The sequence below is a fragment of the Homo sapiens genome, chromosome 13, assembly GCF_000001405.40.
Source record: "Homo sapiens chromosome 13, GRCh38.p14 Primary Assembly".
NCBI classification, from domain to species: Eukaryota; Metazoa; Chordata; class Mammalia; order Primates; family Hominidae; genus Homo; species Homo sapiens.
This window is the reverse complement of record NC_000013.11, coordinates 38,816,432-38,842,734: the sequence shown is the minus strand read 5'-3', so window position 1 is coordinate 38,842,734 and position 26,303 is coordinate 38,816,432. Positions and strand designations below refer to the sequence as shown.

Below are 26,303 nucleotides of genomic sequence, written 5' to 3'. Positions count from 1 at the left end.
ATTACATTGTGTCTCCTGAGATGAAAGGAAGAGGTGCCAGTAGTAATTGCTATCTGGAGCCAAATCTTATTTACTCAAGTGCGCATAGACCATCATTCAAGTAAGCTTTGTAGATCTAACCAATGTGTTTGCTTAGAACTGAATGAAGTAAAAGCTTTAATGCTGCCTTTTTTGTCCGGTGCTGAAAATAATACAAAGGAATTGTTTCCAAATGAGATCTTTCTTCTGAGCTGTATTGCCTAATCAATCCACGTCCCATGGGCACCTCAAGGTGAACTTCTCCATAACGGAATCCACAGGGTCACCTCCACTCCCCTTCCCCAGGTTTCTCTCTGTCTCATTTCCACTAATCCAGCTGTAGGCAATAACACCTTCCATTTGAGTTTTCCCAGCAACCACTTAACCAGGCTCTTAAGGAAAGTGGTCATCCCTCAAAGCAAATCTCATCATAGTACTCCCTTTGCTGAAAGCCTCTCAACTTTGCTTACTGTTCTTGGGATTATTCACAAGCTACTTAACATGGTTTACAAGACACTGAAACATTTGGTCTTGGTTTGCCTTTTCAACATCCTATTAGCCCCTTTTCTACTAAACAATCCAGTATCTTGAATGTCTTAAATGTGCCCCTCCCAGCCTTTGCTCTATGGCTCTGCTGCTTTGAATGCTCCTCCTTCCTCGTCCGGATACCTTCTGCTCTGCACATCTTCCAGGCCTCTGTTGAGAAGTCACTTCTGTGGGGAGCACCCTGCTTTCCCCTACCAAACAAAGCCCTTGCTCAACTTCTACCATCACTGTGCGTATGTCCCCCATTGTCTCTGAGTTCTCTAAGTGGAGGAATCAAGCTTCCTCTATTCACTGGTAACTTCCCTAACACTTAGTTTAATCAATGCAATAGGTGTGCAATCAATATTTGTAGAATGAATTAACATCAAAGTAGAATTATTTATTTGCTGCAGCAAATGAATAAATATTTCTGTCTCTGTGGTGGGTGAGTCAGAAGAGGACACTCTTAGCATCAGGCAGTGGCAGTTAAGAAGCCTCAGAAGGAAGAGCCAGTGATTTTCTTTGCAGTAAAAGGACTTTGCAAGGCTGCCCTTCGAATCGGCAAGAAATTCACGAGGAAGGAAAAGTGAATCAAAATGAACTCAAAGAGAAGAGGCTTTTTTTTTTCTTTTGTTTTGAAATACTTTGCCTTCACTGGTTCCCAAATAGGAAGTATACTAGAATTATCCTAGACAATTTAAAAATACAGACGCTAGGGCCTCATCTCCAACTTTCCAACTCAGAATCTCCAACAGCCGCTTCCAGGCACCTGTGTTTGTTTGTTAAGAGGTTTCAGTTTTTAGAGCAGTTTTAGGTTCATGGCAAAACCGAGCAGAAGATACAGAGACCTGCACATGCCCCTTGCCTCCACACAGGCCCAGCACTGTTTTTAAAAATCTTGACAGGCAACTACCTTGGAGTCAGCAATCCGCGTATTATTTTAGCTCATTTCAGCGTCTTTAACACTGGTAACTTAATTGCTAGATACCATAGTAGTTGTTTTAAATTCAGTACCTTATTTCATCCTCACAACCACCCACTGAGGTGTGTACTATATTAATCCCGTTTTCACAGATAAGGAAATTAAGGATTAGGGAGATTAAGAGATTTCCCCAAAGTTGTGCTGTACATCAGGGAAATAGCAGAACTAGGATGCATATCTAGATAAAGCCTGTGCCCTTGACTACTATTAAGGCAGGAAAAGAGTCATAAAAGTTTTTCACAAGATTTTTATGGACAAAGTTTTTACCTAGCAATTCAATATATGAGGACCTGTCATATAGAAATGCTAACCTAAGTGTTCAAAGATGCATACAAAGGATTGTTCATTGTATTTCATTCATTTGTATTAGGGTGCAATTGGAAACAAGCCCAAAATCCATCAGAAAGGGATTAAATTCAGTTCTTTCACAAAATGGACTACCAGACTATAAAGCATATATGTATGTGTGTGTGTGTGTATATATATATATCTGTGTGTGTGTGTGTATATATGCACATATATACACACATGTATACATATGTGTGTGTATATATATACATACACATATATATATATATATATATTTTAGTTTTATCCCCCAGGTTAAAAAATATTTGAGATATTGATGCTCTGTGATTCTATACCTTACACTCTCTACTTGGCTTCATCAGCAGCAGTGATAGATTAAAAATTAAAGGTCATTTGGGTTGCAGTGGGCCAATATTGCACCATTGCACTCCAGCCTGGGTGACAGAGCCAGACTCCGCATTAAAAAAAAAAAAAAAAAGGAGAAATCCCGGCAAGGTGGCTGAATAGGAACAGCTCTGGTCTGCAGCACCCAGCAAGGCCAACGCAGAAGGCAGGCGATTTCTGCATTTCCAACTGAGATACCCAGTTCATCTTATTAGGACTGGTCAGACAGTGGATGCAGCCCATGGAGAGCAAGCAGAAGCAGGGTGGGGCGTTGCCTCACCTGGTAAGTGCAAGGGGTCGGGGAACTCCCTCCCCTGGCCAAGGGAAGCCATGAGGGACTGTGCCGTGAGGAACTGTGTACTCTGGCCCAAATACTACACTTTTCCCATGGTCTTCACAACCCACAGACCAGGAGATTCCTTCGGGTGCCTATACCACCAGGGCCCTGAGTTTCAAGCACAAAGTTGGGTGGCCATTTGGACAGACACTCAGCTAGCTGCAGGAGTTTTTTTCATACCTCAGTGGTGCCCAGAATACCAGCAAGACAGAACCATTCACTCCCCTGGAAAGGGGGCTGAAGCCAGGGAGCCAAGTGGTTTAGCTCAGTGGATCCCACCCCCATGGAGCCCAGCAGGCTAACATCCACTGGCTTGAAATTCTTGCTGCCAGCACAGCAGACTGAAGTCAACCTGGGACACTTGAGCTTGGTGTGGGAAGGGGTGTCCACCATTATTGAGGCTTGAGTAGGCGGTTTTCCCCTCACAGAGTAAAAAAAGCCTCCAGGAAGCTCAAACTGGGTGGAGCCCATCACAGCACCGCAAAGCCACGGTAGCCAGACTGCCTCTCTAGATTCCTCCTCTCTGGGCAAGACATCTCTGAAAGAAAGGCTGCAGCCCCAGTCAGGGGCTAAAACTCCCATCTCCCTGGGACAGAGCACCTTGGGGAAGGGGCGACTGTGGGCACAGCTTCAGCAGACTTAAATGTTCCTGCCTGCCAGTTCTGAAGAGAGCAGAAGATCTCCCAGCACAGTGCACGAGCTCTGCTAAGGGACAGACTGCCTCCTCAAGTGGGTCCTTGACCCCCATGCCTCCTGATGGGGAGATACCTCCTAGCAGGGGTTGACAGACACCTCATACTGGAGAGCTCTGGCTGGCATGTGGCGGGTGCCCCTCTGGGATGAAGCTTCCAGAGGAAGGAGCAGGCAGCAATCTTCGCTGTTCTGCAGCCTCTGCTGGTGATACCCAGGCAAACGGGGTCTGGAGGGGAACCACAGCAAACTGCAGCAGAACTGCAGAAGAGGGACCTGACTGTTAGAAGGAAAACTAACAAACAGAAAGGAATAGCATCAACATCAACACAAAGGACGACCACACAAAAACTCCATCCTAAGATTACCAACAGCAAAGACCAAAGGTAGATAAATCCACGAAGATGAGGAAAAATCAGCACAAAGAGGCTGAAAATTCCAAAAACCAGAATGCCTCTTCTCCTCCAAAGGATCACAACTCCTCGCCAGCAAGGGAACAAAACTGGGTGTAGAATGAGTTTGACGAATTGAAGAAGTAGGCCTCAGAAGGTGGGTAATAACAAACTCCTCCGAGATAAAGGAGCATGCTCTAACCCAATGCAAGGAAGCTGAGAACCTTGAAAGAAGGTTTGAGGAATTGCTAACTAGAATAACCAGTTTAGAGAACATAAATGAACTGATGGAGCTGAAAAACACAGCACGAGAACTTCGTGAAGCATACACAAGTATCAATAGCTGAATCGATCAAGTGGAAAAAAGGATATCAGAGATTGAAGATCAACTTAATGAAATAAAGCGTGAAGACAAGATTAGAGAAAACATAATGAAAAGGAACGAACAAAGCCTCCAAGAAATATGGGTCTATGTGAAAAGACCAAACCTACGTTTGATTGGTGTACCTGAAAGTGATGGGGAGAATAGAACCAAGTTTGAAAACACACTTTAGGATATTATCCAGGAGAACTTCCTCAACCTAGCAAGACAGGCCAACATTCAAATTCAGGAAATACAGAGAACACCACAAAGATACTCCTTGAAAAGAGCAACCCCAAGACATATAATCTTCAGATTCACCAAGGTTGAAATGAAGGAAAAAATGTTGCGGGCAGCCAGAGAGAAAAGTTGGGTTACCCACAAAGGGAAGCCCATCAGACTAACAGTGGATCTCTCGGCAGAAATGCTACAAGCCAGAAGAGAGTGGGGGCCAATATTCAACATTCTTAAAGAAAAGAATTTTCAACCCAGAATTTCATATCCAGCCAAACTAAGCTTCATAAGTGAAGGAGAAATAAAATCTTTTACAGACAAACAAATGCTGAAGCATTTTGTCATGACCAGGCCTGCCTTACCGGAGCTCCTGAAGGAAGCACTCAATATGGAAAGGAAAAACCAGTACCAGCCACTGCAAAAACAAACCAAAATGTAAAGACTATTGACACTATGAAGAAACTGCATCAACTAATAGGCAAAATAACCAGCTAGCATCATAATGACAGGATAAAATTCACACATAACAATATTAATCTTAAATGTAAATGGGCTAAATTCCCCAGTTAAAATGCACAGACTGGCAAATTGGATAAAGAGTCAAGACCCATCGGTGTGCTGTATTCAGAAGACCCATCTCACGTGCAGAGACACACGTAGGCTCAAAATAAAGGGAGAGAGGAATATTTACCAAGCAAATGGAAAGCAAAAACAAAACAAAACAAAACAAAAAAAAACCAGGGGTTGCAATCCTAGTCTCTTAAAACAGATTTTAAACCAACAAAGATAAAAAAAGACAAAGAAGGGCATTACATAATGGTAAAGGGATCAATGCAATAAAAAGAGCTAACTATCCTAAATATATATGCACTCAATACAGGAGCACTCAGATTCATAAAGCAAGTTCTCAGAGACCTACAAAGAGACTTAGACTCCCACACAATAATAGTGGGAGACTTTAACACCCATTGTCAATATTAGACAGATCAACAAGACAGAAAATTAACAAGGATATTCAGGACTTGAACTCAGCTATGGACCAAGCAGGCCTAATAAACATCTACAGAACTCTCCATCCCAAATCAAAAGAATATACATTCTTCTCAGCACCACATAGCATGTATTCCAAAATCAACCACATAATTGGAAGTAAAATACTCCTCAGCAAATGCAAAAGAATGGAAATCATACAAACACTCTCTCAGACCACAGTGCAATCAAATTAGAACTCAGGATTAAGAAACCCACTCAAAACTACACCACTACGTGGAAACTGAACAACCTGCTCTTGTATGACTACTGAGTAAATAACGAAATTAAGGCAGGAAGAAGTAAGTTATTTGAAACCAGTGAGAACAAAGACACAATGTACCAGAATCTATGGGACACAGATAAAGCAGTGTTTAGAGGGAAATTTATAGCAATAATGCTCACAGAAGAAAGCGGGAAAGGTCTAAAATCAACACCCTAACATCACAATTAAAAGAACTAAAGAAGCAAGAGAAAACAAATTCAAAAACTAGCAGAAGACAAAAAATAACTAAGATCAGAGCAGAACTGAAGTAGAGACGCAAAAAACCCTTTAAAAAATCAATGTATCCAGGAGCTGGTCTTTTGGAAAATATTAACAAAATAGATACACCACTAGCCACACTAATAAAGAAGAAAAGAGAGAAGAATCAAATAGACACAATAAAGAATGATAAAGGGGAGATCACCACTGATCCCACAGAAATACAAACTACCATCAGAAAATACTATAAACACCTCTACATAAATAAACTAGAAAATCTAGGAGAAATTGATAAATTCCTGGACACATACACCCTTCCAAGACTAAACCAGGAAGAATTCAAATCCCTGAACAGACCAATAACAAGTTCTGAAATTGGCACAGTAATTAATAGCCTACAAACCAAAAGAAGCCCAGGGCCAGATGGATTCACAGCCGAATTCTACCAGAGGTACAAAGAGGAGCTGGTACCATTCCTTCTGAAACTATTCCAAACAATAGAAAAGGAGGGACTCCTCCTTAACTCATTTCATGAGGCCAGCATCATCCTGATACCAAAACCTGCCAGAGACACAACAAAAAAAGAAAATTTCAGGCCACTATCCCTGATGAACATCCATGTGAAAATCCTCAATAAAAAATACTGGCAAACCGAATCCAGCAGCACATTAAAAAGCTTATCTACTACGATCAAGTCGGCCTCTTCCCTGGGATGCAAGGCTGGTTCAACATATGCAAATCAATAAATGTAATCCATCACATAAACAGAACCAATGACAAAAACCACATAATTATCTCAATAGATGCAGAAAAGACCTTCGATAAAATTCAACACTCCTTCATGCTAAAAACGCTCAATAAACTAGGTATTGATGGAACATATCTCAAAATAATAAGAGCTATTTATGACAAACCCACAGCCAATATCACACAAATGGGCAAAAGCTGGAAGCATTCCCTTTGAAAACCAGCACAAGACAAGGATGCCCTTTCTCACCACTCCTATACAACATAGTATTGGAATTTCTGGCCAGGACAATCAGGCAAGGGAAAGAAATAAAGGTATTCATATAGGAAGAGAGGAAGTCAAATTATCTCTTTTTGCAGATGACATGATTGTATATTTAGAAAACTCCATCGTCTCAGCCCAAAATCTCCTTATGCTGATAAGCAACTTCAGCAAAGTCTCAGGATACTGAGAATGTGCAAAAATCACAAGCATTCCTATACACCAATAATAGATAAACAGAGAGCCAAATCATGAGCAAACTCCCATTCGCAACTGCTACAAAGAGAATAAAATACCCAGGAATACAACTTACAAGGGATGTGAAGGACCTCTTCAAGGAGAACTACAAACCACTGCTCAAGGACCTAAGAGAGGACACAAACAAATGGAAAAATATTCCATGCTCATGGATAGGAAGAATCAATATCATGAAAATGGGCATACTGCCCAAAGTAATTTATAGATTCAATGCTATTCCATCAAGCTACCATTGACTTTCTTCACAGAATTAGAAAAAACTACTTTAAATTTAATATGGAACCAAAAAAGCCCGTATAGCCAAGACAATCCTAAGCAAAAAGAACAAAGCTGGAGGCATCACACTATCTGACTTCAAATTATACTACAAGCCTATGGCAACAAAAACAGCATGATGCTGGTACCAAAACAGATATATAGACCAGTGGAACAGAACAGAGGCCTCAGAAGTAACGCCATACATCTACAACTATCTGATCTTTGACAAACCTGACAAAAATAAGAAATAGGGAAATGATTCCCTGTTTAATAAATGGTGTTGGGAAAACTGGCTAGCCATACACAGTAAACTGAAACCGGACTCCTTCCTTACAGCTTATACAAAAATTAACTGAAATGTATTAAAGATTTAAATGTAAGACCTAATGACATAAAAACCCTAGGGGAAAACCTAGTCAGTACCACTCAGGACATAGGCATGGGCAAAGACTTCATGACTAAAACACCAAAAGCAATAGCAACAAAAGCCAAAGTTGACAAATGAGATCTAATTAAACTAAAGAGCTTCTGCACAGCAAAAGAAACTATTATCAGAGTGAACAGGCAACCTACAGAATGGGAGAAAATCTTTGCAATCTATTCATCTGATAAAGGGCTAGTGTCCAGAATCTACAATGAACTTAAACAAATTTACAAGAAAAAACAAACAACCTCATGAAAAAGTGGGCAAAGGATATGAACAGATGCTTTTCAAAAGAAGACATTTATGCAGCCAACAAACATATGAAAAAAGCTCATTATCACTGGTCATTAGAGAAAAGCAAATCAGAACCACAATGAACACCATTTCATGCCAGTTAGAATGGCGATCATTAAAAAGTCAGGAAACCACAGATGTTGGAGAGGATGTGGAGAAATAGGAATGCTTTTACACTGTTGGTGGAAGTGTAAATTAGTTCAACCATTGTGGAAGCCAGTGTGGTGATTCCTCAGGGATCTAGAACCAGAAATACCATTTGACCCAGCAATCCCATTACTGGGTATATAGCCAAAGATTATAAATCATTCTACTATAAATGTCCATCAACGTTAGACTGGATAAAGAAAATGTGGCACATATATACCATGGAATACTATGCAGCCATAAAAAGGATGAGTTCATGTCCTTTGCAGGGACATGGATGAAGCTGGAAATCATCATTCTCAGCAAACTAACACAGGAACAGAAAACTAAACACTGCATGTTCTCACTCATAAGTAGGAGTTGAACAATGAGAACACATGGGCACAGGGAGGGGAACATCACACACTGGGGCCTATTGGGGGGTGGGGATCAAGGGGAGGGATAGCATTAGGAGAAATACCTAATGTAGATGATGGGTTGATGGGTGCAGCAAACCACCACAGCACATGTATACCTATGTAACAAACTAGCACGTTCTGCACATGTATCCCAGAACTTAAAGTATAATTTAAAAAAAGGGGTAATTTGCCATTTCTTTTTGGTAGCTTTGAAATTTTTTCCTCTCCTGTTAATATACTCGATAAGCAAAAAGAGGACTGTGCTCAAAACAAAATAAACATCTCTATGGACTAAAAATGAAGCAGAACATCATAGTGGTAGGTGAAGCCAAAGGAGTGTGGTCCTACTGGTCTCTAGTTCTGGAGACAGGCAATGAATCAACTCTTGAGGGGGATCACAGGAAACCAAACTAAAACAAAATTCAAGAGTGAGAGAGAAATATGGGTTTTTCAGGCTTTGAAGATGAAGAAGTTTCATCTACCTATAGATGGACACTGAAATAAATAAATAAATCCAAAGGACTCAAAATGTAAGAAATTCTGTTGAGCAAAGAAATCAATAAAATATGCTAGTAAACTCATTGAATTATTTTTTTCCATTCAATGTTGAACCTAAAAATTGAGATAACAGTAAGGAGGTTATAAATGGGGTTCAGTGAGTAGATGAAATATTTTAATGTCCTTGTCTTAGTCAAGAGAACAAACTTGGTTGCTCAGATGGTTAAATAACTCTTAAAATGATAAGGGTTGCCACCAAAAGGGCAGAAACTAGCAGAGAATAAAAAATAACTAAGAATAGGGAGAAGTTTCCCAATATTACAAGAAGCTGGGAAGGAGGAGAAACAAAGTTCATATGCAGAAAATGAAATAAAAAGCCCAAATGTATCAATACTAAGAACAAATGTAAATAAATTGTTTATTATTTAAAAGTTGTTAGCTTTATTATTAAAAAATATAGTTAAAAAAGTTTTTTAGGTTGGGTTAAAAAACAAAACCATATGCCAGTTATAAAAGACAGTTATCAAACAAAACTGCAGAAAAATGGGAAAAAGATAAGACTATAAAAAGTATATATACATACTTAATTTATGACATGCTGCTCTTGGGGACAATGGCAGTTAAAAGACACTAATAGAGACTTAACTTTTTTTTGCTTTTTTTTCGAGACACAGTCTCATTCTGTCACCCAGGGTGGAGTGTAGTGGCTCAATCTCAGTTCACTGCAACCTCCACCTCCTGGGCTTAAGCAAATCTTCTGTCTCAGCCTCCTGAGTAGCTGGGACTACAAGCGTGCATGACCACACCCAGCTAATTTCTAATGTAGAGATGGGGTTTTGCCATGTTTCTCAGGCTGGTCTTGAACTCCTGGACTCAAGCGATCTGTCCGCCTCAGCTTCCCAAAGTGCTTAGATGACAAGCATGAGCCACTGAACCCTGCTGAGACTTAACATTTTAATATGTACTGCTTCATATCTTTAAAACACCTAAAGCAACTATGAAAAATAGTAATATTGTTTAATTTTACATAGAGCACATTTTATGTTATATTGTTTGTGGGTTTTTCTGCAATGAAATTTTTTAACATGGTAGATAGAGAATGGTATGTATAAAATTATTATATCTTATTAAAAATAAACTACATAGTTTATTTTTTGATGCATAGAAAATAAGAAAGAATGTATGTTAAACCACTAACTGGTTATTTCCTAGAGCTGAGATTGTGAGGAAATTTCACTTCCTTTGCTATACATTTCTTGCATACATTCATTTGCTACCCATTTAACTTTTTCAAGTAGCATTGATTCCTTTTGCAACTAAGAAAAACGAAGAAGAAAAAAATGTTGATGAACTTCTCCCTGTAATAATATCATTAAAAAATTAGTTTTAAATAATTTAGGCATGGCCTTTCCCCACTTTTCTTTTTATTTTTCATTTTTTGAGACAGAGTCTTGCTCTGTCGCTCAGGATGGAGTGCCGTGGTGAGATCTTGGCTCACAGCAACCTCTGCCTCCCGGGTTCAAGCAATTTCCAGCTAATTTTTGTATTTTTAGTAGAGACGGGGTTTCACCATGTTGGCCAGGCTGGTCTTGAACTCCTGACCTCAAGTGATCCACCTGCCTTGGCCTCCAAGACAGGTAGGATTACAGGCGTGAGCCACTGTCCCTGGCCTACTCACTTTTCTTTCAATAAATACTTTACATAAACATACATTCTGAAAAATGAGCTCATATCTAGTCTTTAAAAAGCATTTTCAAAATTATTGTTGAAAAATTAAAGTTCAGGACCAGATGCAGTAGCTCACGGCTATAATCCCAGCACTCCGGTAGGCCAAGGCAGGCAGATTATCTGAGGTCAGGAGTTCGAGATCAGCCTGGCCAACATGGCAAAAGCCCATTTCTACTAAAAATACCAAAAAAAAAAAAAATTCAGTCTGGCATGAGGTGCACACCTGTAGTCCCAGCTACTCAGGAGGCTGAGGCAGGAGGATTGCTTGAAACTGGGAGGTGGAGGTTGCAGTGAGCCAAAATCACACCACTGAACTCCAGCTTGGGCGACAGAGCAAGACTCCATCTCAAAAAAAAAAAAAATTGAAGTTAAAATGTATATAAAAAGGGAAAGTTTAAAAATATATATCATTTTAAAGACATGTTTTAACATTTCTTTTTCTTGTCAACTATAATTTTCTCAGGGAGAGTAAAGAAAAGTCAATACATGTCTAGAATGATGACAATTTAAATACTGAACCTGCCCAAAATCTCAGTTGAAAATACATAGTGAGTCTTTCTTCAAAAAGATAATGATATCAGAGATTCTATCATCAATGTAGTTTCATTCTGGAATCTTCTCTTGCCTTTTTGAGAGTCATCACAAGTGTAAAATAAAATGTAAGCATCACAGTCATCAAAATTTTCCAACATCCAGTAGCATGTGAAGAGGCTTCATGAGTATTCTTTATTCCACAAATGCTATTGAGTTCCCTGCCTTCTAGAAGATTGTTTCAAAACTTAAAATATTTTTTCTATTCCATATGACAGCATACCCCATATATGAGGAAGAAGAAGGAAAAACTGGTCATGACCTACTAATTGATTTCTCGACTCAGTGAGGTGCAATTTACAGTTTCCTAAACTATTGTATATAAAACTGTTTCCCAAAGGTGGTCACAGATCTATACTGCAAGTACCCGAGGGGTTTTAAAACACACATTCCTGGGGCCTCATCTTAAATCAACAAAACCAACATTTCTCCGAGTCAAGGATTTTAAACTGTTTCAGGTGAATGTACACATATTAGAGTCTGAGAATCAGTCGTCACCCTTCAGCTGCTAGTCTGGGAGGGCAGAGTGATTGTAACAGGTGACAGCTGCTGTAGTGCAGAGGTTCCCGAGATGGAGAGCTGACACAGGACAGCAACCCAGAGAAGAAAAAATGTGAGCTGGACCTTCAATGCTTGGCAGCATTGAAGAGGAAAAGCATCTCAGATAAAGGAAAAGAAAGACGTGAGTGTGCAGTAGGTTGGGAAGTTGTGTGGCTGTAGTATAGGAAAGGGCGAAAGCCCAGGGAGGAAGTTAAGGTGAGAGCCAGGTTTTGCAAGTTCTTGCAATACATGCTAAGAACTACAGAAAAAAGGGAGTCAACGCTGATTTTTAAGCTGGAATTGAAATCATCAGAACTTGGTTTGCAAAAAAAGCAAACCAAGCATGGTGGATGGACTGAAGCAGAGTTAGACCATAAGCCGTGGGACCCTTGAGGGGAAAGTGCAATTCAGAGAAACAGTGAGGTCTTGAGCTAGGGCAGTGGAGGTGGGAAGATTGAGAAGTCAGATTCTAGAAGAGCTTCAGAAATACAGTGACAATGCTTTGTGATCAATCACATGTGAAGGACAGTATCAAAGTGGATGACTGGGTGATATCCTGCTTGATCAACTGGCCAGCTTTTTAATTTTGAAGGATATTTGTGTTGTCATTCATTGTGCCATTGCCAACTGATTTCTGGTACACAGTCATTTTCCTCACTTTCGTTTGTTATCTTTCCCAGTACTCTTGTATGATATATTTCTTTAAAATTATCTGGCTAAGAAAATCTATATATCAACACGCTTTATTCACATCTATGTGTCTTCTTTTAGAGAAGATTAAAATTCCCAACCATATTTTGTGGCTAAGACTATAGATGAGGGCATCCCCTAGATTTGTGCAGAGATAATATATGTAATTAAACATAAGGTTATAAGTACAATTGTTTGAGAAGACTGGTAAAAGTAATGTATTTAGTCAACATTATGTCTATTTTTAAAGACAAAAGTTGCAGAGAAACAACTTTTGAGAGCAAATCACTGATGGAAAGTAGCCAAATTGTGTGATGTGGGTAAAATAAATTTCACTCCAAACCTGTGTATTCCGTTTGTGTCTTTCAGTTTCCAGACACTATCTATTGTTTATTTGAATAAACAAATTAATTTGTTTATTCAAATAAAAAAATTATTCATAGAGGAATGGGCTCTATACTCACTTAATAGGTAAAATCAAGACACTGTGAAATCTAAAAAAAAAAAAAGGATATAATAAATACATTTTACTGAGGTCTCCATTTCCATACTACACTACATGGTGTACTATACTACAAATAGCATAGTAGGCCCCCAAATGCTATTTTATGTATCATAGTGTTTGTATTTTTTCCTATTAATGTTTGTCTTTTTGTATAAGACAAAAAATGAGAAATAATGATAAATAGTTGAGTTATCCATAGTTAATGAAAAAGTTTGATATATTTCCTTTCAAAATCATGTTAAAAGGAATCTTGGAAAGGGTTATTCTGCCATGACAGGCTGAAAGGGCCTCATTTCTGGAGAAGGCCCATATCATCATACTACGGGATATGATACAGACCTGTTAGAAACTCTTACTATCAACAGCCAGCTATCATAGGCTATAGCACAGTGAATGCCAATATGGATGCCTTTTCTCAATTAAATAACTTTGCTTTGTTAAGACTGCTTATGTTCTACCCCTTACTGAATCACTTTCTAGCAGTATGGCTTTGGGCATGGTACCTAATATGTGTGTGTCTCAGTTCTTCACCTGTAAAATTAGGGATTATGACAGCATATGTGTCATGGATTTGTTATAAGGACTGAATGAGAGAATATATATAACATGCTTATAGCAGTGCTTGGCTCAGATAATTTCTTGTCATATTATATATTTTGTTACATCTAAAACTGAATGTAATGATAGAGACTAGGCAAATAAATGACACCCTGCATATGTGAAAAAGGATATGTACTACAGCACTTATGTGATTAGAAAAAAAATCTGAAACCAGTCTAAATGCCCATCCATAGGGGATTGTTAAATATGTTATAGCCAGACTGTGGAATACTATATAACCATTAAAAATGAGCTGGGTTTATATGCATTGACATGAAAAGTTTTTCATAATATAGTCTCTTAAAATTTTTTTTAAATTAATTTATTATTATTAAGAGACATGGTCTCTCTCTCTCTGTTGCCCAGTCTGCAGTGTAGTGGCAAGATCATAGCTCACTATAAACTGGAATCTTTGGGCTCAAGTGATCCTCCTGCCTCAGCCTCCTAAGAAGGTAGGATTACAGGTACACAACACCATACCAGGCTAATTTTACTTTTTATTTTTGTATAGCTGGGGTCTCTCTATATTGCCCAGGCTGGTCTCAAACTCCTGGCCTCAAGTGATCCTCCTACCTCGGCTTCATAAAGAAATGGGATTATAGGGTGAGACCCTGTGCCTGGCCATTATGTATTCTTATGTGAAATAAGTACTTCGTAAGATAATACATATATCATCATGTAATAATAATAACCAATATTTATTGAGTACTTTCAGTGTACCTGAACTGTTCTAAGCACTTTATATATATTTCTGTCTTTATCTATCTACTAACTCAATCTTCCTAACAACCTTTGAGGTACAAACTATTATCATCCTCATTTTACAGATGAGAAAACTGAGATCCAGAAATTCAAGATCAATAACCAATAATTGAAAAGGAAGTAAGACAGCCTGCCTTTGGAATATTGTGCCACTTTACCAATAATTTACTCTAATTAAAATGAAACAAAAATGTGTGCATGTTATTGGATGTATGGAAAGATGCATCAAACTAAATGACCTCAAGGGAGAGGTGTGGCTTCCGTGAGGAAGATGACAAGACTCCTTCTTGGTACTCATGTAATAAGTTTGTGATAAAAGATATTATTACTAAACAAAGATTAACATGTATAACTTGTCTCCTTTAAACATAATCTCAGAATATTAGGCAAAAATATTAGAGAGTAGAAAGTCTCTCCTCTTCGTTAAGTTCTCTAAAACATTTTTACTCTTTAACAGGTTCAACTCTACCAACTGTCTATAGCATTTCACAGTGTTGTGGATGATTATGCTGTCTAGGGAACTGAGTAGTTACTGCACTTTCAAAAACATCATCTCACAGTCCTGAGGTCCTGCAAAGTTTGTGTCTTTCCATTCTTACATATAACTTACTTAACAGTTACTGCTATCAAGAAAGTCTTGCCTTCTCACACTTCTTCCATTATTTTTATGCCCTATTTCAGTGATCTATCCACACATCCATCTTCAAGCTTCCCAAAGGCAGGAATCACCTATTGTTCGTCTGTAAACTCCAATGAGAAACATACAGTCTGGTGTATGGGAGGTCATCAAAACAAGTGTGGAGGTATAAGCTAAGACTGACAACTGCCTCCCAAGTTTCTATTCAAAAGTAATCATTTTGGATGTAAATCTCATCAGGTATGTGAGAACACACCACTTAACATCATAGTTAATGTAATATTAATATTATAATCGCTACATTTACTGACTGCCCCTGCCCCAGTGACACCAGGATCTCTAGAAACCTTGTTATATTGTCTTAATGCTCACAACAGCTGTAGAGGTGATTATTTTTATCTGCTGTTTACAAATAAAATTAAGTCAAGACTCAGAGAGGTTAAATAACTTGCTCAACGCCACACAACTAGAATGTGGTATAAGGAGGATTCAAACATAAGGTACTCACATACAAAATCTGTACTGTAAAAAAATTAAATAGTACTTTTTCTGAAAATGGTTAAGAGTCTGGACATGTAAACATTTTAGATGTTTAGATTTTTAGAATATTTTCTTTAAAAGATGTGTAATGAGAATCTGATTAAAGAAAAAGGGAGGAACATGATATTCTACGTAAGAGAAAATTAGAATATGTTATACAGATCAGTATTCCTAAGTTGTGAGGATAAATTTCTTAATTAAAAGATTCTAGGAAGAGGGAAATAAAATGAGATGTCACTTTATGCTTAAACTCTCCATACCTTTAAAATTGTCACTGCTTCAAAAATCACCAATCAGAAGTCACATATGTACATTTTATTCCTGCTAACTAAAGTAAATTTTATAAGTAAGATTTTGAAATCAACAGAGACTGTGACATGAGGGTGATTTATTTGGGAATTCCAACAGCTGAATGAAGAAAGATGACGATTAATATGGTGTCAAACACAATCTGTGTGAGGTCTCAGGAATAAAAGCATGTGATTGACACTCAAACAATAAGTAATCTTGACCACAGGCTGCTTGACAACTGACACCTGAACACGCCTGCAGGCAGCACAGGAAGGGACTCCAGAGTAAACAGCAAAAGCGACTCCATTTCAAGTTGGAAGGAATGTGCTCCTTTATTGTGAGATCCTTCTTCCTCGGTTATCCTTGTGTTACTCTATATTAGCAGTCAACGCTATTGCATTGCTTCCTTGCGTTGTTGTACGTGGAAAAAAAAATCATTGTTCTGCAAGCCAGGGGTGCCACTCCCCCTCTCAGTCACTTACGAAATGCCCGACACTGGGGAAATCAACTTCTTTGGTTCTTGTATTTCTGGTCTGCAATATCCAATTTGATCTACGTGAAGTCAGATCTCTAAGCTTTCAGGTCCAAGCTATTCTTCTTGCCCTTCTGGGACGTTTGTGTTTTTCCTGTTGATATGATACTAGTTGGCAGCTATTTCTCTCATTCAACATTTATCCAATTGATTCATGCTTATTTCCTGCAGTCTTTATTGGAAGGATAGTAGGTGCTTCCTCTCAAGGAAAAATAGGAGTTAGAAAACCATTCTTGTCTTTAAGATGGTTTGTGTTTAAAGAGTAACCAAGAAGCTGTAAACATACGCATTATGATTTTTATATGACTTCTTATATCAGATAACATTTTGGCTTTAAAGAGAACAACTTGTTTAATCATTTGAACGTGTATTTTCATTTATAGAGAATAAAAACCTGTCTAATATATTTTTAAAATACAATTTAAAAATAAAGCAAGGCCACTTTCTAGAGTGAAAGGAGCACAGCCCTGAGTCAGGGTGATATGAGTGATGCTCATGGCAGAGCCTGTGAGTGATGGGGGTAAAAGGTAGCTCAGAGAGGAGCCTGGGTAATAGAACTGGACAGCTTAATAAATGGCTGACACAAGGAAATGCCAATTTAAGGCTACTGGTGTTCAGATACATGTAATGTCACTAAGGAGCTGTTCAGCATTTTCATTCTAATAGCTGAATATAAACTGCAGCAGCCAGAGCTTTCTAGGGCAATGACAATGCCTCACTGCAGGCTTTAGGTGGAAGGCTAACCACTGCTTTTCAGAGACGTACCTAGGAAAACTCAAGTAAGCTACAAAGCACATGTTTTGTTCTTAGATGTTTGATATTCTGTGAATATACTACATGTGGGTTTTTTTTTAATAAATAAGGCTTTATTCTTTGTGGTTAATTTTTTTGTATATTATAAAAACAGTAAGTAATAGGAAGAATATCAAGAAAGGTAGTCCTGGCCAACCCTCCTGCCTGCATACATTTAACCACCAATTTATTATCTGTTTTTTGAACACCTATTATGGATCAGGCACTGTGCTCCATACTGGGGATATGATAAAGACACAGCCCTTGTTTTCGAAGAGTTCTTAGTCTAGAAGTTAAAACCGAAAACAAACACAGCATTGCACAGTTGTCTTGGCAGTAATAATAATGACAGCTAAACATATTGGTATTCTAAGTGCTTTACATATATTAACTTATTTATTCTGTATAACAACCCTATGAGGTAGACAGTATTATTGAAACCATCTTCGAAAAAATTATATCAGTGAGAAAATTATGGCAGTGAGGGAGATCTGATCTAGCCCGCCGCCCCCCTCCACCCCCAACCTTTTCTTTAGCTTTCAAGCTGCCTGGGTTTAGGCTGGTTAACTTTGGAAGAGATTTAGTTTATAGTTTAAATGAAAACCGTCCTTCCCCAAAACTCAATTGCCTTTATGAAGCTAATGAGAGACCACCAGCCTACAGGAGGAGAGGAGTCTGAATTCTGATAAGGTGTAACTTCCCCAGTTACTCCTGCAAATAACATCACTTTTCTATTGTAGATAGGCATTTTGTGATATCCTTTCAGGTTTTGTGTGTATCTAACAGCATGGCTCCACCTAGAGCTGCTAACTGGTGGCTCCTGTGGCCCCACCCAGAACCAACTCAGCTCAAGAGGACAGCTTCAATTCCCTATGATTTCATCTCTGACCCAACCAATCAGCAGCAAGCACCCATTGCATAGCCACTCCCACTGTTTCCCTCAAAATACCTTTGGAAAACCCCTAACCTATGAGCCTTTGGTGAGACTGATTTGAGTAATAACTCTATCTCCTACATGGTGTGGCTGACCTCGTGTCAATTAAACTCTTTCTTTCCTAAAATGCCACGGTCTTTATTTGTGTACCGAGCCAGAATAACTCATCAGGCTGTTACGTTATGAGGAAATTGGGGCAGAGAAGGGTTAGATAATTATCCCAAGAACATATACCTTATAAGACAGAGCCAGAATTAGACACCGAGCAATATGGCTTCATAAGCATATCATGCCTCTCCTTGTATGATGTAATTCTAATTGCTTAGATTGTGCTACCCAATTTTACTACTTTATGTGACAAAACTGTCTCTTTCTCCTCACTCTTTCTTCTCTACATAAAATCATCATAACATATCTTTCCCACAATACTACCACTCTGTCCCCTATCACAAGCACCGGTATTTGATCTTAAAGTTTCTTTCTTCCTTTCACTTGAATAATCACTTGAAATGCTCTATCCATTATTTTCATATTCTCAGCTCTCATTAATTTTAAGCTCATTGAAACACGGCCTCATTCTCCAAAACACTCAAGAAATACTCTCTCCAAGTTGGCCAATGCCCTTCTTTTTGCAAAACCCAATTGCATATTGCAAATCTTTGTCTTTATCGTTGAAGAATTTAATACTATGGGCCACAACCTTTTTTCTTGCATCTTCATCCTTTTCTTTCCATATTACTGCTGTCCCCTGGTACTTCTCTCATCTCTTATCTGTTGCTTAATTGTGAATGTTTTCTCTTAAAGGAAGAATAAGATGACCATAAAGTTACTACTTTACCTGCACATGGAAAGTGCTCAGTCACCATAAGTTATTATTATTATTATTTTAATTATTGGCAGCTGAATTTTGAGGCATTAATATGAGTTAGCCAGCTGATGAATGAGGAGGTAGAGAGGGAGAATTTTTCTTCAAGTAGAAGCAGAAATAGAAACTAAAGATAAGTAGACAGCCTCATATGTTTGGGGGCTGCAGAGTTTGCTGTGGTATTGTATGCTGCTTGGAATGAGGAGATGGGGTGAACAAGGAAAGCAGGGAGCCATGGCCAGGCCATGCAGGACCTTGTGGTGGGAGCCTTGTCCTAGAAATTAGCAGGTGAGAGGTGTGCTCAGTGTTAAAAAAGGGGGGAACATGATGATGAAATGTGCATTTAGGGTTCTGGAGGATGAATGGTCTGGTGGAAAGGGGTGGGATATGAGCAAACTGGAAGCAGGCGGCCTAGCTAGTTGGCAAGTGCAAGAATCCAGGCAAGATAGGAAGTTCGTTTGGATCAGGTGATGGCAGTTCAGACGAGGAAAAATAATAAGGATATAATATTTAGAGATATGAAGGAGGTAGAATCAAGGAGTTGGGGTGAGGACTGAGAGGAAGGAATCCAGTACTCATAGAACCATTCACCAAGATTAGGGATAAGCGGGAATAAAACAGGGTAGGGCAAGGACTAAGTGTTCTAATCTATTGAGTTTTTCTCCTGATTTGTTTTGATGCTTTTCAGAATCTAAGACATTAAGTCTGGTAAGATGTGTGCCTACATCACTTTTCTTGCACTGTTTAAAAAGAAGAAGAAAAAAAGAGTTTTCACACATGACAAAATCATTGTGTCTTCCATAATTACATCACAGGGTTTGATGAAGTTTCCTTCTTCACAGAGATGTCAAGGGATGTGTTGAACAGAGTCATAAAATTTTCCTCAGGGAGCTAACCTAACATCTTCTACTGCAAAGCGTTGATTTGTCCTCTCAGTATACTGAACTAGATCGAATACATATTACTATTTAGATATACTGTCATTTTAAAAACTTCAAAATATATGTTGAGGACCAACATCACAGAAAACATGCATGCTAGGTTTGTTGGGAGGATAGCGATCCCCTGGAAAGACTTATAAAACTGTACTGTTTTCAACCCCCTATTTAGCGCAGACAGCATTCCACCAGTTTATGAGATGCAGACCGTGCACGCTAGACCCACAGGCATAAAGCAACACCTAGACCACTTCTAATTTTATCTTGTATTTATAGGATCATCTTGCAGCACTGAGACTGTGAAAGACTGTGGCTTTGGCTTTTTAAAGCCTTCTCTGGCAGGGAGTGTGCTCTCAAAAATTACCCTTCTGAATAAGTGTGATTCTTAAAAAAAAAAAAAAAAAAAAAAAAGAAAGAAAGAATGGGCTCCTTGTTGGCATTTTGACCACAGAGCTTCAGCTCTGTAGTATACTTCCTGGGCCTGTGAAACCCATTGTTTGTGAAACACCCTCAGGGAAATTGAAGCTGAGATATATTTCAGCTCTATAAGGTGTAAAAAGAAAGCTATTTTTTTCCTCTCACAATACCTATATTCTTGCTTTTTAAAAAGGTACACACGAGTAAAGATCTATCAGCTGTTTTATTTCTTTTCACAGGAATGTGTTTAAACTCAGGAACTGCTGAATTGTACTGTAACTTGGCTCATCCCAAATAGTGCAGTTGTCTTCACAATGGAGAGACTGTCACAGCCTAAAAAGACACGTGACTCTGAGCATCAGTTTACTGGCTGCCCACTCAATGATTCAGACTCCTCCATTCTTTGTGTGGAAGAGAACTGGCCTTCCGGGAGCCTGAGGCCAAGTGAGAGAACCTTCTGAAAGCCGTCACTGCATGGGGAGCCTGGACTTACCCTTTGCCTTGTTGGAGCTGTTTGTCTATTTCCGTCTCGAAGTTCTCTATAGATTGGGCTAGTGTCTTTCACCACTGTGTCCTTAATGTCCTGGAGACTGCCCGCCACTTAGCAGGGGCCTATAAGCACGTGAAGTGAGGCCAGGACAAATCCTTATGCCCTCTACCCTCGCACAGCATCTGGAAACATGAGAGATGTTAGGTGTGTGTTTTAAATGAATAAATGTGTGAATTCAAATTATTTCAAACGCCTGTTTCAGAGAGACAGAAAAAAGACCTGTTTCTTAGAAAAAAGAGAAAAAAAGATGATTTATTTCTCCAGTAGTATGAAGGAAAAGCTTCATCCATCATTTTAAGTGCTTCAAATGGTTACAAATGGCCTAGAGAAAGAAGGCATTTTTAGTTTTAGCTATATGTTTAAAATTTCAATATAAATTATTATTGTGATTATTTGTCACATACTTTACTGTTTGTCAAATAACAATAGCACTATATTTGACTGGGCAATCTTGTATCTTTCTAGGTCAGTGTAAGGTTCTCTACATAATTTAAGGAAGATTTTAGGCCAATTACAAAAAAAAAATGTATAAGATTTACAACACAGGAATAAATCAGGGAAAAGAAGATCTGATGTCCAGTCAGACAGGATGAAGGCCTATTTCTCAAGGAAAACATAACACCTATCTGTTCCCTCTGAAAGGTAACATTTATCTACAAAGAGAAGGAAGGTTCACAGAGAACATAGGGACACCATAAGGACTCCTAATGAGACAACTACTTCTGGTTTTATAAAGAAGCAAACTAGCAAGTTTCACATCTCTACAGTGACCACTGGTATATCCACCAATGTCAGAAAATAGTACATCTATTACAAAATGTTTTCTTAATATTTCATTCTAATACCATACGTGGAGATGCTGCTGTCTGTTTAGTAATGGAGGTACATGTTTTCAACAGTAGACCATAGGTGCATAGTGCATTTTCTAGACTTAAAATAATCATAGCCCTGCAAGTCCATGGCAGCATTTCACAGATGCTGGCCTCTCTTTACATCACTGAGGCATGCAGGCCAAGACTTTGAAGTGCTCTGTTTTCAGCCAAGTTGCCATGTTTGGCTTTTCAGCATTTTCTGTATGTTTTATGATTTCAATAAAAAGATATGCCAGACCTCTCTGGCCAGCAAATAATTAGGACTTTTTGATCACAACAATAGTATCTAGTAAGAGATCTTTTCCATTTAATCAACTTTTTGTGTATTTTATTGGTTTTTATTATAAAATTCATTTTAATAGTTTTAAATTTACAAATTCTGAAGTCTAGTATCTGAGAAGCTGCTTCTCAGATTTATGTGATTTTTAACACTAAAATGGAATTTTCTGTGACTGAGATCTTGAGGTTCCTATAAATGTTTAGTAAACTGCTTCCAGGGTTTTAGTGGTAATAAATCAGAAATATGTATTCTTTGATGTCTGTAAGATAGTATTGCATGGCCAGCATTCACTTTTCTGTTTGGAAGAGATGGGAATCAGGCAGATAGTGTTACTGGGAAAAAGACAAAACAAACTCAAGACAATATTTATCCACGAGGACTTGACAAGAGAGCCAAAATGCAATCTTTCAGAAAGGCAACCATTTTCACCGGGTCATTTGCTAGATGATGTGGAAAAAGCAGTGCTATTCCTTGTCCAATTGAAGTACCAGATTGAGACTGCACTAATAAGCTTTGCTAAAGATCCAAGGGGAGTTATAATTGATAAAAGATCAACAAGAATAGTTCATTTACAAGTTATTCTATTATCTATGACATTTCAATTATCAATATTCAGGTGCTATATGTCTATAAAAGTATATATAGCTTGTTTCATCTTGTAAACTTCCCTATTAGGATAACTAATAATAACTTTGAGTATTACATTGTAGAATCAGAAGGTCATTGTGTATATTAAATATACTTACTGCTAGTATAATATGAAGTGTGCTGCGTAGTTGTTAATGCCATAGTCTCTTTAGTCAGGCTGGCTAAATGCTTACCGGCTGTTTGACCTTGGGCAAGTTATCCAACCACTCACAGATGATAAAACCCAGGCATAATAAAACTTGGCTCATAATTTGTGTATGTGCATATGTGTATTAAATAATTCAGGTAAAAGATTTAGCACATCTTGGAAGGTGTTCATGATAGCTATGATTATATAAAAATATATGATATCTACAAAGCCCTAAAAAATAAAGACATAAGTTAATTTAATATTGTGAACAGCATGATCCTAATCGGTACCACAACCTTGATATCCTAAAACCACTCTAGCAGACTACATATCTGTAAATTTACACTCCATGAATTTGAGGGCTCATTTCTGGGTGAACCAGCCCTATGTCCTGCCACAGCTCCCTGTGCTCACTTTCTTGTGGGGAGAAAGGTCATTCTTCAGTGTAAATTATACAAAATGGTTAGTTTTTCTCATAAAGAAGTTTGGAGCCTTTGCCTTTTCTGGTAATGGTGGTGAAATGTTTTTATGTGACTAGCAGGAGAAATTCAAGTGGCTGCTTGCCAAGCTTGTGTGTGTGCAGTGGAACAAAGCTCTTTAATGCTTTTCCTGTGGTGAGCAGTGCATTGTATCAACAGTTTCAAAAAGACCAGGCAAGCGCACAGCAGCATAGCAGCCAGGGCCTTTGGAGGTTCTGGCCATAACAGGTTGAGTCAAATGGACTCCTATTGCTAACAAACCCACTACAGCAGTCTCTGATCTTTGCTCATTTGCCTTCTTCTTTGTTTTTAAATTTGTTTTTTAATTGACACTCTGTAATTTCCCATATTTATGAGGTGCAACTTGATGTTTTGATATATTTCTGTATTGTATAATGACACAATAAGGGTAGTTAGTATATCCAGCACATCATGCATTATCTCTTTGTGATGAGAACACTCAAAAGCCTTTCTTCTAGCATTTTTTTTTTGAGACGGAGGCTTGCTCTGTTGCCCAGACTAGAGTGTAGTGGTGCGATCTTGGCTCACTGCAACCTCTGCCCCACTAATTTTTGTATTTTTAGTAAAGACGGGGTTTCACTATGTTGGCCAGGCTGGTCTCAAACTCCTGATCTCAGGTGATCCACCTGCCTCAACCTCCCAAAGTGCTGGGATTACAGGCATGAGCCATCATGTCCAGTCAGCTTTTTTATAATATATAATATTTTATTGTTAACCATAGTCACACTACTGTGCAATAGAACACTGGAATTTATTCCTTCTATGTAATTGTAACATGTACCTATTAATCAACCTTTCTCCATCTACCTCTCCTTTCTCCTTTTCCCAATCTCTGATAACCACAGTTCTATTCTCTGCTTCAATGATATCAACTTTTTTTCCTTTGTAGATTCCACATATGAGTGACATCATGTGGTATTTGTCTTTCTGTGTCTGGCTTATTTCACTTAACATGGTGTCCTCCAGGTTCACCCATGTTGTCTCAAATGATAGGATTTCATTATGTTTTATGACTGTATAGTATTCTGTTGGGTTTTTATACCACATTTTTTCATCTATTCATCCATTGTTGAATACTTAGGTTGAGTCCATATCTTAGCTATTGTAAATAGTGCTGCAATAAACATGGGCATGCAGATACCTCTTCAACATATGGATTTCAAATATTTTCAGTAAATACTCAACTGTGGGATTGCTGAATAATATGGGAATCCTATTTCTAGTTAATTGAGGAACCGCCATACTGTATTCCATAATGGCTGTACTAGCTTACAACCTCACCAACAGTACGTCAGTGTTCCCTTTTCTCCACATTCTCACCAACACTTGTCTTTTTTTATAATAGCCATTCTAACTGAAGTGAGATGGTATCTTATTTTGGTTTTGGTTTGTGTTTCTCTGATGGTTAGCAATGTTGAACATTTTTTATATACCTGTTTGTCATTTGTATGTCTTATTTTGAAAAATGGCCTTTTGCCCATTTTTGATTAATATTGTTATTGTTGTTTTGCTATTATGTCCCTTATATATTCTAGATATTAACCCGTTTTCGCATCTATAGTTTGCAAATATTTTCTCCCATTCTGTAGGTTGTCTCTTCACTCTCTTAACAGTTTCTGTTGCTATGGAAAAGCTTTTTAGTTTGATATAATCCTATATGCCTATTTTTCCTTTTGTTGACTATCCTTTTGAAGTCTTATCTAAAAAGTCCTTGCCCAGCCCAATGCTCTGATGTGTTTCTCCTATGTTTTCTTCTGTTAGCTTCAGATTTTACACTAAGATCCTTAATCCATTTTGAGTTGATTTTTATATATAGTGAGAGGTAGGGATCTAGTTTCATTCTTCTGCACGTAGATAAACTAATTTTCCCAATACCATTTATTGAAAAGATTGTCTTTTCCCCAACATGTATTTTTGGTACATTTGTTGAAAATCAGTTGGTTGTAGGTGTGTAAATTTACTTCTGGGTTCTATATTCTATTCCATTGGTCTATGTGTCTGTTTTTCATGCCAGCACCATGTTGTTCTGTACTTACTATAGCTTTGTAGTATATTTTGAAGTGAGGTAGTATGAAGCTTCCAGCTTTGTTCTTTTTGCACAGGATTGCTTTGGTTGTTTTGGGTCTTTTGTTCTAGATAAATTTTAGAATTGTTTATTTCTATTTTTGTGAAGAATGCCATTGGCATTTTGATAGGAATTGCATTAATCTGTACATCGCTTTGAGTAGTTTGGCCATTTTATGACATTAATTCTTACAATCCACAAATATAGGATATCTTTCCATGTATTTGTATTATTTTACATTTCTTTCATCAAAGTTTTATAGCCTCAGTATAAAGATTTTTCACCTCCTTGACTAAATTTATTACTAGGTATCTTTTTTGTAGCTATTGTAAATGAAACTGTTTTCTTGATTTCTTTTTCAGATAGTTCACTAAGAGCATATAGAAATGCTACTGATTTTTGTATGTTTACTTTGTATACTGCGACTTTACTGAGTTTGTTTATTAGTTCTGTTTTTCAATGGAGTCTTTAAGGTTTTCTATATATAAGATCATGTCATCTGCAAACAGGGCACTTAGCTTCCTCCTTTCAAATTTGAATGCCTTTTATTTCTTTCTCTTGCCTAATTGCTCCGGCTAGGTCTTCATTTACTACATTAAATAGAAATGGTAAAAGCGGGCATCTTTGTCTAGTTCCTGACCTTACAGGAAAAGCTTACAATTTTTCCTCACTCTGTATGATGTTAGCTGTGTGTTTGTCATATATGGCTGTTACTGCATTGAGGTAAGTACCATGTGAATCTAATTTCTTGAGCGTTTTAATCATGATAGTAAATTTTTATCAAATGCTTTTTCTGCCTCTATTGAAATGATATTTTAAAAAATAATTCTTTCCGTTAATGTGCATATCACATTTATTGGTTTGC

The 26,303-nt window shown here is 38.0% G+C and overlaps 1 protein-coding gene and 1 long non-coding RNA gene across 3 annotated transcripts in view, besides 1 other annotated feature; one reads left to right on the top strand and one right to left on the bottom strand.

The window, feature by feature from the left end:
* The window catches only part of FREM2 (FRAS1 related extracellular matrix 2), a 200,055-nt gene that overhangs the window by 44,397 nt on the left and 129,355 nt on the right, over positions 1-26,303 (bottom strand). The window contains exon 7 of one of the 2 annotated variants that reach the window (XR_941571.3): positions 20,887-21,065. The exons of the other annotated variant lie outside the window; for it this stretch is intronic. The gene's annotated coding sequence lies outside the window, so the exon portion shown is untranslated. The remainder of the gene's footprint in view (positions 1-20,886; positions 21,066-26,303) is intronic. 2 annotated transcript variants of the gene reach the window in all.
* FREM2-AS1 (FREM2 antisense RNA 1) lies at positions 15,144-21,051 on the top strand. The gene is made up of 2 exons (NR_146963.1): positions 15,144-15,324; positions 20,633-21,051. It is a non-coding gene; the product is annotated as an FREM2 antisense RNA 1 (long non-coding RNA).
* Positions 18,027-18,216: an enhancer, noted in NCBI's record as "active region_7596". NCBI's record gives its function as "activates an Ori minimal core promoter by ATAC-STARR-seq in GM12878 lymphoblastoid cells {active_cell/tissue: GM12878}" and the evidence as "EXISTENCE:reporter gene assay evidence [ECO:0000049][PMID:35858748]".